General features: G+C 40.5%; 1 long non-coding RNA gene across 10 annotated transcripts in view; it reads right to left on the reverse strand.

Moving 5' to 3' along the window:
* Positions 1 to 2,155, reverse strand: part of LOC105379271 (uncharacterized) — a 114,785-nt gene extending 112,630 nt beyond the window's left edge. For 8 of the 10 annotated variants that reach the window (XR_007068492.1, XR_007068490.1, XR_007068489.1 and 5 more), the window contains exon 1: positions 2,063 to 2,149. This is a non-coding gene — a long non-coding RNA (uncharacterized LOC105379271). Of the gene's footprint in view, positions 1 to 2,062 lie in introns of all 10 variants that reach the window. The other 2 variants (XR_949081.4, XR_949082.4) reach the window with 2 other exon arrangements.
* Between the last annotated feature and the right edge of the window lie 14,938 nt (positions 2,156 to 17,093).

Raw genomic sequence — 17,093 nt, forward strand, 5'->3', positions numbered from 1 at the left:
AACACTCTAGACACATTACCTGGAAAAGCCCTCCTCCCTCCGGAAAAAGAAAAACTTCCCCATGGGAGAAGAGTCCTTCACACCTCATTAGTGGCAGCAAAGACTCAAGTTAAGATAAGATACATCTACAAGTACATTAATTGGTAGACATTAGATGCACAATTTATTTTTGAATAAAAATATGTATTACCTACTAATTTAGTAACAATATTACCTAAAGATATAATCTAATAATTTAATACAAAGAAACATTATAAGTTCACTAAAATAAATGTTATAGAAATATACTGGGCTGTATTAACCATTTTCCTATTAATATGTGGATTCCACAAATAACTTCATATGAGTATTCCCATGACAGTACATCTTGCTTTTCTATACCTCAACATCATGGAAAGTGCATCTTGCAACCCAGCAATTTTGGCCTACGTTTTTTAAAATGTACATAATATGTATTTCCTACAGTACACGATTCTACTCATGTTTCCCAATAACACCTTTCCCTGTATCCAAGCCCTCATATTATGCTCTGACAATAAATTGGGCTTTTCCATCTGACTTGTCCAGTGAATGGACAATGGAAAATGTGATGCAAATATCCATTGGTTCTTGCCTTTTTGGACACAGTCATATTGTGAAGAGGTCTGGAGCTACCCTGTTGGAGACACAGGGCCTAGCCAAGAGTCACCACAAACCACCAGATTGTGAAGGAAACTATCTTAAACCAACCAGGCTCAGTCAAGGCACCAGGTGACTAAGGCCTGTTTTGTGATCCAGGCAACACAAATATATCAACTACACAGCTGAACCCACCACACCAAAATGCAGATCCACAGAACTTCAAACAAATAAAATGGTGGTTGTTTTTTATAAGCTAGTAAGGTTTAATTAGTTCCTTAAACAGCAAATATTAACTGTTACACCTAAGTGAATAGAATTCAATGTTTTTAACGAAATTATGTAGGGGGAGAAAGTCTTAAATTACAAATCAAATGCAATCAATAGAACTTCACAATCTATGCTATATTTGGTGATGGACTAGGTTTAATATATCTCAGACACTGGAAACAACAAGGTAAGTTTGAAGGAATGGGACTGTATTTGGAGAGTATTTCAATCTTTTCAAGTATGACAGGTCACTCCTGCACCCCAGACCACACTTTCAGGCCCCTTCAAATAAGGAATATTTCCTAGGTCCTTGCCTGTTCTTCTCAGCTGAATTCACCTCAACCTTCTGAAAGTTCTTCCAAACCTTCCACTATCACCTAGTCTTTGCAAATCTTGTGCATTCCAGGGAGTAGAATTAATATTTCCTGAGCGAGGAAAACTGGGATCTTCACCTGCGACCTTTTATCCTCCTCTGAAGCACCAGTGAGAGGTTAGACCACAGGGCTGTTCTTTCAAGTGCGCTTCTTATTCATAGGGAACCCTCCCTTTCAAACTTTATAACACACAGTTAAGACTGAAGTACCCTTAAGGCTGAAGACCATCATCCAGTACCCCATCTCCCTGGCGGAATCAGTGAGTTCCTCCATGGAAACTAGGTCTCTATAAACTTCCATAAATGCAATCCAGGAGGACTAGGCAGGTCACACAGTGAAGGAGGGAACCAGAAACTTCACTTGCTAAATAGACACCAGGAAACCCAACTAATACAAACGCCCAGCTTAAGACTAGAGGCACACGCATTTCGCACTACTCCTCTGGGAATGGGGAACGTCTCCCGAGAACTGTGTGTTAGCACGGGGACAGATGGGCAAACTGAGCTACATGAGGGTTGGTAACCGGGTCCCTCAGCGGCAGGACAGGAGCGCGGCCTGCAGACTCCGGGCCCAGGGCCACCAGCCTCGCCTACCCACTCCTGTGCCTCTGGAACCCGCTTCACTGCTGGGACCCCACGTCTGTCCTCCCAGCCCCCGCCAGGGTCCACGGCCCGCAAATGCACGTCAGGCCCCTCCTGCCCGCGATGCGCCCACGCGTCTGCCCCCACAAATGGGGAACACTGGTCTGGCCCCCCGGGATCCCCCGAGGCCCACAGGTTCCTCCTCGCCCTCGCACCTACCCACAGGGACATAGAACCAAGCCCCAGGCCTGCTCAGCTACACGACCACCGCTGGGATCCGCACTTCCGGAGGAAAATGGCGAAGTGGGCGGGGTGGCACATGCGTAGAGAGAACCTGGTTCCCAAGGTCCTTGATGGTAAACATCATTGGAAGGTGACACTACATTTCCTATGAGGCTCTGCGGTCCCCCGTTAGGAACGCACGCCGGACATTCTGTTTTGCCCAGCAGTGAGTCCAGTTACCTGGAGACCCGGACTTAATGGATCAGGACTGGTCCCTACCCACGTGACACAGATGTGGCATTCTGGTTCGTTATTAAATCCTGGATTCACAGCCTGGGACATTGTGAAAATAATGGAGAAATTCCAATAGAAACCAATTGGTCTATGCTGTTAATGAGTAACTTTTTTTTTTTTTGAGATGGAGTCTCGCTCTGTCACCCAGGCTGGAGTGCAATGGTGCGATCTTGGCTCACTGCAAACTCTGCCTCCCAGGTTCAAGAGATTCTCCTGCCTCAACCTCCTGAGTATCTGGGATTACAGGCGGGCGCCACCACACTCGCCTAATTTTTGTATTTTTAGTAGAAACGGGGTTTCACCATGTTGGTCAGGCTGGTCTCTAACTCCTAACCTCGTGATCCGCCCTCCTAGGCCTCCCAAAGTGCTGGGATTACAGGCGTGAGCCACCGCGCCCAGCCCTCAAGTCTATTTTTTATAGATGCATTCGAAAGCATGAAAAAAATCATGTCTCTATTTTACTTTAAATTTTTAAAAACACAACTAATGAATATGGTAATTCTCTTCCAATCTGTTATCTTTTCTCTCACGAAGCTAATTTGTGAGCTTTCAATTTACACAGTTAGAAAAAATTGCTCTAGTGTATATACTAGGATAAAATAACAGGGTCATAAGACAAGTGCACTCCATAATCTTTGTGACAACTTACACTTCCAGTGTCTGATGAACATTTGCCCATAAACTCCCACGTTTCATCCATCCATCCATCAGTCAAATCTACCTATCTTTATTTATTTATTGTGCGAAATACCTGAACTTTGCCTTTCCTTCCCTGATTTCTGCCACAAACTAGGCAAGGAGTTCTGCCTAGGGGTTTTTCAGAGCTCCGGCTACCACCGAGGTTCCTAACAGGGAAATTGCCAGCTTGAATGCTTGGGGTTGATGTGGGAGTGCGTGTGAAACGGGTGTGGGGTGAAAGGGCAGTGAACTTTGTAGGTGGGTAGATGGGGGTGTGAAGGGCTTTCAGGTAAGAGGCACAGAGGAAACTGGGAGAGGCAGCGAAAGCACTTCACGCCTCAGATAACCAGAAGATGCTCCCACCAGCGCCATGACAGTTTGCCAGTGCCATGGCAACACAGGAAGTCCCCACCCCTTGCCATGGAAACAGCTGGAAGTTACTGCCCATTTCTAGCTATTTCTGAGTAACCCGCCCCTTAATTAGCATGTCATTAAAAGTGAATTATAAAAATGACTACAAGCCACCCTTAGGCTGCTACTCTGGGAGCACAACCCACAGAGGGCTCCCTGCCCTGCAGGAGCGGACGCAGGGCTGTAACACCGCCAATGCCTCCATAGAGCTGCTTTATTCCACCACAGGCTTGCTTTTGGATTCCTTCCTGAGCGACGCCAAGAACCTGCCCTTCCTCAGTGTGACTCTTGCCTAAAATCTATCCCTGGTTTTCTCTTTTCCTAAGCATGCCCTGACTTGTTCTTTCATCTCCTCTGAACTTGCAATTGCTCCTCAGTGACTCTATTCTGCAGATCCAGAAAACTCAACCTTAATCTTCCCAGAGCCCTGTTGTCTCCAATATTGGAATCTCTAGCCTTGCTTTCTCAGACACCTAGATTACAGTCCTCTCTCTTGAACACCTATTGGTAAGGTATCCGGGGATCCTTTAAATACACGATGATTGGCAGGGTTTACATAGGGGAAATCAGTGCCTGACAATTCGCCTTCCAGGATATGGATTGTCATTCCCTCTCTTTGTGGGCCCCAGTCTCCTATACATAAAAGTAGAGATTGTAATACTCATTTGACTTGCAGATACCTCACCCCGAACCCACCTACTATAACGTAAAAGCCAAGAATGCAAACCCTTTCCTCACCCCGTGAAGGTAAAGTCCTCAGAGCCAAGGAGAGAAGGCTCAGGGATGGTACCTGGGTGTTTCCAACACTAACCATGCATTGTAGTTTTTAGTGTTCAAGTTTAAGCTTCTTATGTTAAAGTTACCCCAGCTTTAATTATATTGTAACAAGATTTATTTTTGTAATCCCATTTTTGGATTCTTGATTTCTTGGTAAAGAAATACAGTTATTTTTGTATACCAATCTTATATAGTGTTACATTCCAAAATTTGTTCATGAGTCCTAACACTTTTTAGTAAATTTCTTATGATTTTCTAAATGCAAGATCATGTCATCTGTACATAAAGATAACTGTACTTCTTCCTTTCCAATCTAGATGCCGTTTATTTATTTACATTGCCAAGTTGTCCCAGCTACCACTGTTATCAAGTAAAAGGGTCTCACTGCCCAAAGCTCTAGAAGCCAGTAACATGACACTGAGTTTTTGAGAAGAGAAAAACTTTAAAGTCAAACCAAAACCTATGGGATACAGGCCAGGCGCAGTGGCTCATGCCTGTAATCCCAGCACTTTGGGAGGCCGAGTTGGGTGGATCACAAGGTCAGGAGATGGAGACCATCCTGGCTAACACGGTGAAACCCCGTCTCTACTAAAAATACAAAAACCAAAAATTAGCTGGGCATGGTGGTGGGCACCTGTAGTCCCAGCTACTCGGCTGAGGCAGGAGAATGGCATGAACCCAGAAGGCAGAGCTTGTAGTAAGCCAAGATTGCACCACTGCACTCCAGCCTGGGCAACAGAGAGAGAGTCTGTCTCCAAAAATAAACAAAAACAAAAAAACAAAAAACAAACCTATGGGATACAGTAAAAACAGTACTAAGGAGTAAGTTTATAGCAAAAAGCACCTACATCAAAGAAAGTAGAAAAACTTCAAATAAACAACCTAATAATGCATCTTAAATAGTTAGAAAAGCAAGAGCAAACCAAAACCAAAATTAGTAGAAGGAAACATAACAACGATCAGAGCAGAAATAAATGAAATTGAAATTTAAAAATATAAAATATCAATGAAATGAAAAGTTAATATTTTTTTAAAAGATCAACAAAATCAACAAACATTTAGCCAGACTAAGAAAAAAGAGAGAAGACTCAAATACATAAAACCAGAGATTAAAAAGGACACACTGCAACTGATACTGCAGAAATTCAAGTAATCATTAGAAACTATTATGACCAACTATATTCCAATAAATTGAAAAGCCTGCAAGTAATGGCCAGGCACCGTGGCTCATGCCTGTAATCACAACACTTTGGGAAGCCAAGGCAGGTGATCACCTGAGATCAGGAGTTCAAGACCAGTCTGGCCAACATGGTGAAACCCCATCTCTACTAAAAATACAAAAACTAGCCAGGCATGGTGGCATGCACCTGTACTCCCAGCTACTCCAGAGGCTGAGGCAGGAGAATCGCTTGAACCTGGGAGGCAGAAGTTGCAGTGAGCTGAGATTGTACCAAGCTCCATCCTGGGTGACAGAGCAAGACTCCATCTCAAAAAAAAAAAAAAAAAAAAAAAAAAAAAAAAAAAAAACACAACCAAACCACAAACCTAGAAGAACTGGATAAATGAGATTGAACCCATAATAAAACATCTCCTAGCAAAGAAAAGCCTGGATCCAATGGCTTCACTGATTAATTTTACCAAACACTGAAGGAAGAATTACTATCAATCCTACTCAAACTATTCCAAAAAACAGAGAAGTCTGTAATATTTCCAAAATCATTCTATGAAAAAGACCATTCATCGTGTCTAAGTGGGATTCATCCCAAGGATGCCAACATGGTTCAACATATGCAAATCAATCAATGTGACACATCATATCAACAGAATGAAGGACAAAAAACATATGGTAATTTCAATTGATGCTGAAAAGCATTTAATAAAATCCAACTTCCCTGTGATAAAAAGAAACCCCCAAAAAAACTAGATTTAGAAGGAACATACCACAACACAATAAAAACCATATGCAACAAACCCTCAGCCAGTATCATTCTGAACAGAGATAACCTGAAAGCCTTTCTTCTAAGATCTGGAACAAGGCAAGAATGTCCACTTCCAACAATGTTACTCAACATAGTACTGGAAGTCCTAGCTAGAGCAATCAAGAAAATTGAAAAACGGTAAAGGGCATCCAAATTGAAAGAAGTAAAATTATTATTGTTTTCTTGTTTGCAGGTGATTTGATCTTATATTTGGAAAAACCTAAGAACTCCACCAAAAAACTATCAGAACTGATCAACAAATTCAGAGTCACACGATACAAAATCAAAATGCAAAAATCAGTAACATTTCTAAATGCCAAAACTGAACAATCTAAAGAAGAAAATCAAGAACGTAATCCCATTTACAATAGCTACAAATAAAATAAAATATCTAGGAATAAATGTAACAAAAGAAGTGAAAGATCTCTACGATGAAAACTATAGAACACCAATGCAAAAAAATTAAAGAAGACACCAAAAAAAAAAAAAAAAATTGAAAGATAGTCCATGTTCATTGATTGGAAGAGTAAATATTGTTAAAATACACATACTTCACAAAGCAATCTACAGACCCAATGCAATCCCTATTGAAATACTAATAACATTCTTCACAGAAACAGAAAAAAAATCCTAAAATTTATATGAAATCATAAAAGACCCAGAATACCCAAAGCCATCCATAGCAAAAAGAACAAAACTGGAAGAATCACATCACCTGACGTTAAATTATACTACAGAGCAATTGTAAGCTAAACAGCATGATACTGGCATAAAACAGACACATAGACCAATGGAACAGAATAGAGAACCCAGAAATAAATCCTTACATTTACAACTAACTCATTTTCAATGAAGGTGCCAAGAATATACATGGGGGAGAGGACAGTCTCTTCACCAAATTGTGCTGGGAAAACTAGATATTCATTGGCAGAATTTTTTTTTTTTTGAGATGGAGTCTAACTCTGTTGCTCTGGCTGCAGTGCAGTGGCACGATCTGGGCTCACTGCAAGTTCCACCTCCCGGGTTCACACCATTCTCCTCCTCAGCCTCCCAAGTAGCTGGGAGTACAAGTGCCCCCACCATGCCCAGCTATTTTTTTTTTGTATTTTTAGTAGAGACGGAGTTTCACCGTGTTAGCCAGGATGTTCTTGATATCCTGCCCTCATGATCTGCCCACCTCAGCCTCCCAAAGTCATTGGCAGAATAATTAAACTAGAACTCTCTCTTGTGCTATATACAAAAATCCAATCCAAATGGGTTAAAGACTTAAATCAAGGACAAGAAACTACTGAAAGAAAACATTAGGGAAACTCTCCAGGAAATTGGTCTGGGCACAGATTTCTTGAGTAATTACTCCAAAAGCTCAGGCAACCAAAGCAAAAATGAACAAATGGTATCACATGAAGTTCAAAAGTTTCTGCATAGTAAAGAAAACAATGGACAAAGTGAAAAGACAATCCACAGAATGGAAGAAAATATTTGCAAACTATATATCTGACAAGGGATTAATAACCAGAATATATAAGGAGTTCAAACAACTCTATAAGAAAAAAACTAATAATCCAATTATTTAAATGGGCAAAAAATCTGAACAGACATTTCTCAAAAGAAGGCATGCAGGTCAGGTGCAGTGGCTCACACCTGTAATTCCAGCATTTTGGGGAGCCAAGACAGTTGGACCACTTGAGCCCAGGAGTTCAAGACCAACCTGAAAAACATAGCAAATAATTTTAAAACCTACCTGGGCATGGTGATGCATGCCTGTGGTCCCAGCTACTCAGGAGGCTGAGGTGGGAGGATTGCTTGAACCCTGGTAGTCATAACTACAGTAAGCCATCATTATACCACTGCACTCCAGCCTGGGTGACAGAGTGAGACACTGTCTCAAAAAATGAGCAAAAACAAAAAAGAAGATATATAAATGTCAAATAGGTATATGAAAAGATGCTCAATATCACTGATCATCAGAGAAATTCAAATCAAAACTACAATAAGATATCATCTTACCCCCATTAAAATGGCTTTTATGCAAAAGACAGGCAATAACAAATGCTTGCAAGAATGTAGGGAAAAGAGAGCCCTCTTACTCTGTTGGTGGGAATGTAAATTAGTACATTCACTATGGAGAACAATATGGAGGTCCCTCAAAAAATTAAAAATAGAACTATCATATGATACAGCAATCCCACTGCTGGGTATATACCCAAGGGAGGGAAAATTAGTATATGAACGAGATATCTGCATTCCCATATTTATTTCAGCACTATTCATAATAGCCAAGATTTGGAAGCAACCTAAGTGTGCATCAACAGATGAAGGGATAAAGAAAATGTAGTACATGTACACAATGGAGTACTCTTCAGCCATGAAAAAGAATAAGATTCTGTCACTTGCAACAACGTGGATGGAACTAGGGAACATTATGTTAAGTACAATGAGCCAGGCACAGAAAGACTTTGCATGTTCTCACACATTTGTGGGAGCTAAAAATTAAAACAATTGAACTCATCAAGATGGAGAGTAGACTGAGAGTTTCCAGAGGCTGGGAAGAGTAGCGGTGTTACGGGATCTTTGGAGTGTCACTTTTCTGGACAGAAACCTCTATGGCTGGTGGCACCTTTACCTGAGTTTTGCTTGGGCCCCGCCCACTCAGCCTGGCAGGCTGTGCTCAGCTCATGCTACCAGGTTGGATCCCATGTTTGCCAAGGGAGACTGCGTGGAGTGGCAAGGGGTGTGTGAGCAAGCATGGGGTCTGGCCACTGTGCAGTCAGACTTCCTGGCTGCTGCAGTGGGGCAGGTAGCTCCAGGTGCCAACATGGGTGCCAGCTCTCCACAAGTCTGTGGCTGGACCACGGGCACCGCAAGCAGCTTCCGCAGCTGGCACACTGGGAACACAGTGGCACCCGGAAGCTTGGAGATACCAGGAACCACAGGGCCCCAAAGAGGGAATCACAGCCCTGGCTCGGGGAGCTCCCAGGTCTGGGCTTCCCAAAGGGTCACAGCTCTTGTTTCCTTCTCTTTGCCCACAATGTGGGAAGCAAGGGGCATGACTCAGCCCTGTTTGTGTTACAGCTCTTTCAGCCTCTTCCCTAGGATTTGTCATAATTAATTCTCATATCGTCTTATTTTTTTACATGTGTTTCAACTTCAGAAGATGTATGGATCTAAACACAACATGATGTGTTAGCTAGCTGCCATATAAGTTTCTCCCTGTTTCACCACTATGCAGCCTAAAGTTATTCCGTCATCGATGACTATCCTGGCTAAAGCGTCTAAAGATCTTTGTTTGGTAGCTATGGCTTCAGCTAGTTCATTCGCTAATTTACCTAGAGTGGTTGACAGATTTCTAATTATACGTTCATGAGAGGTTACTCCCCACCATTGCAAGTGACTTCTGCCAAACATTGGCCAAAATTCACCTCCTTGGTTTGCAGGTATGGTTTGTCTAATCCTGTAAAGTAATTTCGATGAACTACTTCAGTGTTCAGAAACATTGGAGTTATAAATAGAAAGAGGAAAAGTCACATAAACTAATAGACAATTACTTCTCATATGCCAGCGGTCAACACATTCATAAGCCCATGGGTGGTTGATCCAGGGACCACACAGGGTCCCTGACAGACTCTGAAAGTTAAGGCTTTGGTTTACTGGTAACAGAGACAGGTTAAAGTACATGTCTTCAGTCTTGAGTAGAGTGTAATCAGTCTCATTTTTTTTTTAATGAGACAAACATCAGGTAAAGACCTTGACAAGAAGGAAGAGAAATCCCGAGATTCTATAATCATAATAATCGAATTGTAATTGCTAGTTTAAGTAGTCCTTCAAAAATACATCTCATTCCTGACAGGATAAAACAAGTTTTAAAAAATATATTATATTCAGATTCACTAGGGAACACTTGGAGCCAGGAAATAATTCAGGATTCAGCCCAAATTATAGGCAAATAATAAAAACTCTAAAACAATGATCAGGGTTGGAATCTAATAGCATATGTCATAGTTTTCTTTTGGAACATAAATTTTCTCTCTAGTCCATCATTTTATCAAAGACAAATCATAGTAGGACCAATTTTGTATGCAAAATAAGTTTTAGTCTTATCATACCGGGCCTGATTATTTCCATAAAGGGCAGCAAGAATATTTATTGGCCATATAGGCTTCTTAAAATTGGCCTTGTTGGAAATTTTTAATAAGGAATCTTTTAAGAGCCTTGAAGCTAGCCAAGTCAAAGATTTGCATCAGACTGTGTCTGTAATAATTTTTTAACCTACTTTTTAGAATTATACTTTAAGTTCTGGGGTACATGTGCAGAACGTGCAGGTTTGTTACATAGGTATATATATTCTGCAGTGGTTTGCTGCACCCATCAACCCATCACCTATATTAGGCATTTCTCCTAATGCTATCCCTCTCCCTGCCCCCACCCCCCAACAGGCCCCAGTGTGTGATGTTCCCCTCCCTGTGTCCATGTGTTCTCATTGTTCAACTCCCACTTATGAGTGAGAACATGTGGTGTTTGGTTTTCTGTTCTTGTGTTAGTTTGCTGAGAATGATGGTTTCCAGCTTCTTCCATGTCCCTGCAAAGGACATGAACTCATCGTTTTTTATGGCTGCATAGTATTCCATGGTGTATATGTGCCACATTTTCTTTATTCAATCTATCATTGATGGGCATTTGGGTTGGTTTCAAGTCTTTGTTATTGTGAACAGTCCTGCAATAAACATACATGTGCATGTGTCTTTATAGTAGAATGATTTATAATCCTTTGGGTATATACCCAGTAATGGGATTGCTGGGCCAAACGGTATTTCTAGTTCTAGATCCTTGAGGAATAGCCACACTGTCTTCCACAATGGTTGAACTAATTTACACTCCCACCAACAGTGTAAAAGCCTTCCTATTTCTCCACACTCTCTCCAGTATTTGTTGTTTCCTGACTTTTTAATTTTCGCCATTCTAACTGGCATGAGATGGTATCTCATTGTGGTTTTGATTTGCATTTCTCTAATGACTAGTGATGATGAGCTTTTTTATAAGTTTGTTGGTTGCATAATTGTCCTCTTTTGAGAAGTGTCTGTTCACATCCTTTGCCCACTTTTCAATGGGGTTGTTTTATCTTGCAAATTTGTTTAAGTTCTTTGTAGATTCTGGATATTAGCCCTTTGTCAGATGGATAGACTGCAAAAATTTTCTCCCATTTTGTAGGTTGCCCGTTCACTCTGATAGTTTCTTTTGCTGTCCAGAAACTCTTTAGTTTAATTAGGTCCCATTTGTCAATTTTGGCTTTTGTTGCCTTTGTTTTTGGTGTTTTAGTCATGAAGTCTTTGCCCATGCCTATGTCCTGAATGGTATTGCCTAGGTTTTCCTCTACGGTTTTTATGGCTTTAGGTCTTATGTTTAAGTCTTTAACCCATCTTGAGTTAATTTTTGTATAAGGTGTAAGGAAGGGATCCAGTTTCAGCTTTCTGCCTATGGCTAGCTAGTTTTCCCAACATCATTTATTAAATAGGGAATCCTTTCCCCAGTGCTCGTTTTTCTCAGGTTTGTCAAAGATCAGATGGTTGTAGATGTGTGGTGCTATTTCTGAGGCCTCTGTTCTGTTCCTTTGATCTATATATCTGTTTTCGTACCAGTACCATGCTGTTTTGGTTACCATAGCTTGTAGTATAGTTTGAAGTCAGGTGGCATGATGCTTCCAGCTTTGTTCTTTTTGGTTAGGATTGTCTTGGCTATTCGGGCTCTTTTTTGATTCCATATGAAATTTAAAGTACATTTTTCCAATTCCGTGGAGAAAGTCAATGGCAGTTTCATGGGGATAGCAGTGAATCTATAAATTACTTTGGGCAGTAGGTCACTTTCACGATACTGATTCTTCTTATCTATGAGCATGGAATGATTTTCCATTTGTTTGTGTCCTCTCTTATTTCCTTGAGGAGTGGTTTGTAGTTCTCCTTGAAGAGGTCCTTCACATCCTTGTAAGTTGTATTCCTAGGTATCTCATTCTTTTTATAGCAATGGTGAATGGGAGTTCACTCACAGCTTGGCTCTCTGTTTGTCTGTTATTGATGTATAGGAATGCTTGTGATTTTTGCACATTGATTTTGTATCCTGAAACTTTGCTGAAGTTGCTTATCAGCTTAAGGAGATTTTGGGCTGAGATGATGGGGTTTTCTAAATATACAATCATGTCATCTGCAAACAGAGACCATTTGACTTCCTCTTTTCCTAATTGAATACCCTTTATTTCTTTCTCTTGCCTGATTGCCCTGGCCAGAACTTCCAATACTATGTTGAATAGGAGTAGTGAGAGAGGGTATCCTTGTCTTGTGCTGATTTTCAAAGGGAATGCTTCCAGTTTTTGCACATTCAGTATGTTACTGGCTGTGGGTTTGTCATAAATAGCACTTATTATTTTGAGATACTTTCCATCAATACCAGTTTATTGAGAGTTTTTAGCATGAAAGGTTGTTGAATTTTGTCAAAGGCTCTTTCTGCATCTATTGAGATAATCATGCAGTTTTTGTCATTGGTTCCCTTTATGTGATGGATTACATTTATTGATTTGCATATGTTGAACCACCCTTGCATCCCAGGGGTGAAGCCGACTTGATCATGGTGGACAAGCTTTTTGATGTGCTGCTGGATTCAGTTTTCCAGTATTTTATTCAGGATTTCTGCATCAATGTTCATCAGGGATATTGGTCTAAAGTTTTCTTTTTTTGTTGTGTCCCTGCGAGGTTTTGGTATCAAGGTGATGCTGACCTCATAAAATGAATTAGGGAGGATTCTCTCTTTTTCTATTGTTTGGAATAGTTTCAGAAGGAATGGTACCAGCTCCTCTTTGTACCTCTAGTAGAATTCGGCTGTGAATCCATCTGGTCCTGGAATTTTTTTGGTTGGTAGGCTATAATTAATGCCTCAATTTCAGAACTTGTTATTGGTTTATTCAGGAATTTCACTTCTTCCTGGTTTAGTCTTGGTAGTATTCTCTGATGATAATATGTATTTCTGTGGGATCAGTGGTGATATCCCCTTAATCATGTTTTATTGCATCTATTTGATTCTTCTCTCTTTTCTTCTTTATTAGTCTGGCTAGTGGTCTGATTTGTTGATCTTTTCAAAAAACCAGCTCCTGGATTCATTGATTTTTTGAAGGGTTTTTCGTGTCTCTATCTCCTTCAATTCTGCTCTGATCTTATTTGTGTCTTGTCTTCTGCTAGCTTTTGAATTTGTTTGTTCTTGCTTCTCTAGTTCTTTTAATTTTCATGTTAAGGTGTCAATTTTAGATCTTTCCTGCTTTCTCTTGTGGACATTTAGTGCTATAAATTTCCCTCTACACACTGCTTTAAATGTGTCCCAGAGATTCTGGGACGTTGTGTCTTTGTTCTCATTGGTTTCGAAGAACATTTTTATTTCTGCCTTCAATTCTTTATTTACCCAGTAGTCATTCAGGATCAGGTTACCCAGTTTCCATGTAGTTGTGAGGTTTTGAGTGAGTTTCTTAATCCTGCATACTAATTTGAATGCATTGTGGTCTGAGAGACTGTTTGTTATGATTTCCATTCTTTTGCATTTCCTGAGGAGAGTGTTACTTCCAATTATGTGGTCAATTTTAGAATAAGTGCAATGTGGTGCTGAGAAGAAGGTATATTCTATTGATTTGGGATGGAGAGTTCTGTAGATATCTTTTAGGTCCACTTGGTCCAGAACTGAGTTCAAGTCCTGGATATTCTTGTTAATTTTCTGTCTCATTGATCTAATATTGACAGTGGAGTGTTAAAGTCTCCCACTATTATTGTGTGGGAGTCTAAGTCTCTTTGTAGGTCTTTAAGAACTTGCTTTATGAATCTGAGTGCTCCTGTATTGGGTGCATATATCTCTAGGATAGTTAGCTCTTCTTGTTGCATTGATCCCTTTACCATTATGTAGTGCCCTTCTTTGTCTCTTTTGATCTCTGTTGGCTTAAGATCTGTTTTATCAGAAACTAGGATTGCAACCCCTGCCTTTTGTTGCTTTCCACTTGCTTGGTAAATGTTCCTCCATCCCTTTATTTTGAGCCTATGTGTATGAGATTGGTCTCCTGAGTACAGCACATTGATGAGTCTTGACTCTTTATCCAATTTGCCAGTTTGTGTCTTTCAATTGGGGGCATTTAGCTCATTTACATTTAAGGTTAATATTGTTATGTATGAATTTGATCCTGTCATTATGATACTAGCTGGTTATTTTGCTCATTAGTTGATGCAGATTTTTCATAGTGTCAATGGTCTTTATAATTTGTTATGTTTTTGCAGTGGCTGTTACCAGTTGTTCCTTTCCACGTTTAGTGCTTCCTTCAGGAGTTCTTGTAAAGCAGGCCTGGTGGTGACAATATCTCTCAGCATTTGCTTGTAAAGGATTTTATTTCTACTTCAATTATGAAGCTTAGTTTGCCTGGATATGAAATTCTGGCTTGAAAATTCTTTTCTTTAGGAATGTTGTATATTGGCCCCCACTCTCTTCTGGCTTGTAGGCTTTCTGCCAAGAGATCCACTGTTAGTCTGATGGGCTTCCCTTTGTGGGTAACTCAACCTTTCTCTCTGGCTGCCCTTTATATTTTTTCCTTCATTTCAACCTTGGTGAATCTGATGATTTTGTGTCTTGGGGTTGCTCTTCTTGAGGAATATCTTAGTGGTGTTCTCTGTATTTCCTGAATTTGAATGTTGGCCTGTCTTGCTAGGTTGGGGAAGTTCTCCTGGATAATATCCTTGAGAGTGTTTTCCAACTTGGTTCCATTCTCTCTGTCACTTTCATGTACACGAATCAAACATAGATTCAGTGTTTTAACATATTCCTCTATTTCTTGGAGGCTTTGTTCATTTCTTTCACTCTTTTTTCTCGAATCTTTTCTTCTTGCTTTATTTCATTGAGTTGATCTTCAATCTCTGATATTCTTTCTCCTGCTTGATTGATTCAGCTATTGATACTTGTGTATGCTTCATGAAGTTCTTGTGCTGGGTTTTTCAGCTCCATCAGGTCATTTATATTCTTCTCTAAACTGGTTATTCTAGTTAACAATTCGTCCTACCTTTTTTTTCAGGCTCTTAGCTTCCTTGCATTGGGTTAGAACACGCTCCTTTAGCTTGGAGGAGTTTGTTATTACCCGCCTTCTGAAGCCTACTTCTGTCAATCCATCAAACTCATTGTCTGTCCAGTTTTGTTCTCTTGCTGGTGAGGAGTTGTGATCTTCTGGAGGAGAAGAGGCATTCTGGTTTTTGGAGTTTTCAGCCTTTTTGCACTGGTTTCTCCCCATCTTTGTGGATTTATCTACCTTTGGACTTTGATGTTGGTGATGTTGATACTATTCCTTTATGTTTGTTAGTTTTCCTTCTACCAGTCAGGTCCCTCTGCTGCAGGTTTGCTCGAGTTTGCTGGAGGTCCACTCCAGACCCTGTTTGCCTGGGTATCACCAGTGGAGGCTCAGTTGGAAATGCATGAACCACCTGCCTTCTGTGTTGATCCCACTGGGTGTTGCAGACCGGAGCTGTTCCTATTCAGACATCTTGCCAGCTCTCCTGTAATACTTTTATGAATGGGTGTAGTCCTATCTTCTCAAGGTCCCCAAATAACTTGAGGTTCCTGGGCCCGTCAGAAAATGACATTCTTTACTTCTTACCACAAGGACAGCAACTTTGTAAAGGACCCTTGTAGACAAGACACCAAGCCAGTCATTCTAAGGGGCTTTGCATTGGTGCTATAAAGTCAAGCTCAATTCCTTAAAGTGGTCTGGTTGTATCTGCCGTTCGAGTTAAAGCCTTGATAAAACAAACAGTGTCTCCAATTGAATCCTGTTACCAAAAACAGATTCTTATTGAAATTATGCAAATAATTATATTGCCATAATTTAGGAATGCTCACGAATGGCTTCTGAATTCTGGAGAAATCAGTGAGAGAGACAGATAAATCGCTCAAATTTTTGTTCACAATGTAGTTTTTCTAACGTAGGGCAAGTTAAAAATAGCTGAAAAGAAAAAAAATTCTTGACTTTGGAAAACAAAACATAAAGAGAATCAACAATGTTTCCAATGGAAGGGCCATGAATAAAATCTTTTCCTTCTTTTATAAGTTCAGTCCAATGTAACTAAATCTTGTTCTGCTTGATTTCAAATAGCAATTCTCATTCAGTTTTTTGTGTTTTGCTTGATTTCAATTGGAAATCCTCATTCAGCTTTTTAGAGTCCTGGAAGATTTTCCTAGTCCAATGGTATGATCCCCAAAGTTATCTGAAACCATATTTAAGAGAACTTGTCAGAGTCCTTTCCATTAAAAGTAATTTAGATGATAGCTGATTGTAAAGGCTTTTTTTTTTGAGACATGGTCTGGTTCTATCACTCAGGATGGAGTGCAGTGGCATGATCTTGGCTCACCACAATTTTTCCCTCCCAAACTCAAGCCATCCTCCTACCTCAGCCTCCGAAGTAGTTGGGACCATAGGCATGCACCATCATGCTGGCTAATTTTTGTATTTTTGTAGAGACAGGGTTTTACCATGTTGCCCAGGATGCTTTCAAACTTCTGAGTTCAAGCAATTCACCCACCTCGGCCTTGCAAAGTGCTGGGATTTTTACACGTGTGAGCCACCGTGCCCTGCACCACGCCCAGCACTGTGCCCTGCACAGCCTCCAGCAGCACGCCCGGCCTGTAAAGGGTTTTAGAGAAGAACTTTAAACAATCAACGTGGATGACAAAAACTTAGAATATCCTTTGGTTAAAATCCAGTGGAAGTTCTCGACCTGCGAGAAAATTTAGTTATTTCTATTATATGTAGCATTTTAAGATAACAGCCAGAATCATGACTGACGGCAACACATCAGATCCATCAGACATCCACAAATTTTATATAATCTTTA

Source organism: Homo sapiens (genome assembly GCF_000001405.40).
Source record: "Homo sapiens chromosome 14 unlocalized genomic scaffold, GRCh38.p14 Primary Assembly HSCHR14_CTG1_UNLOCALIZED".
NCBI classification, from domain to species: Eukaryota; Metazoa; Chordata; class Mammalia; order Primates; family Hominidae; genus Homo; species Homo sapiens.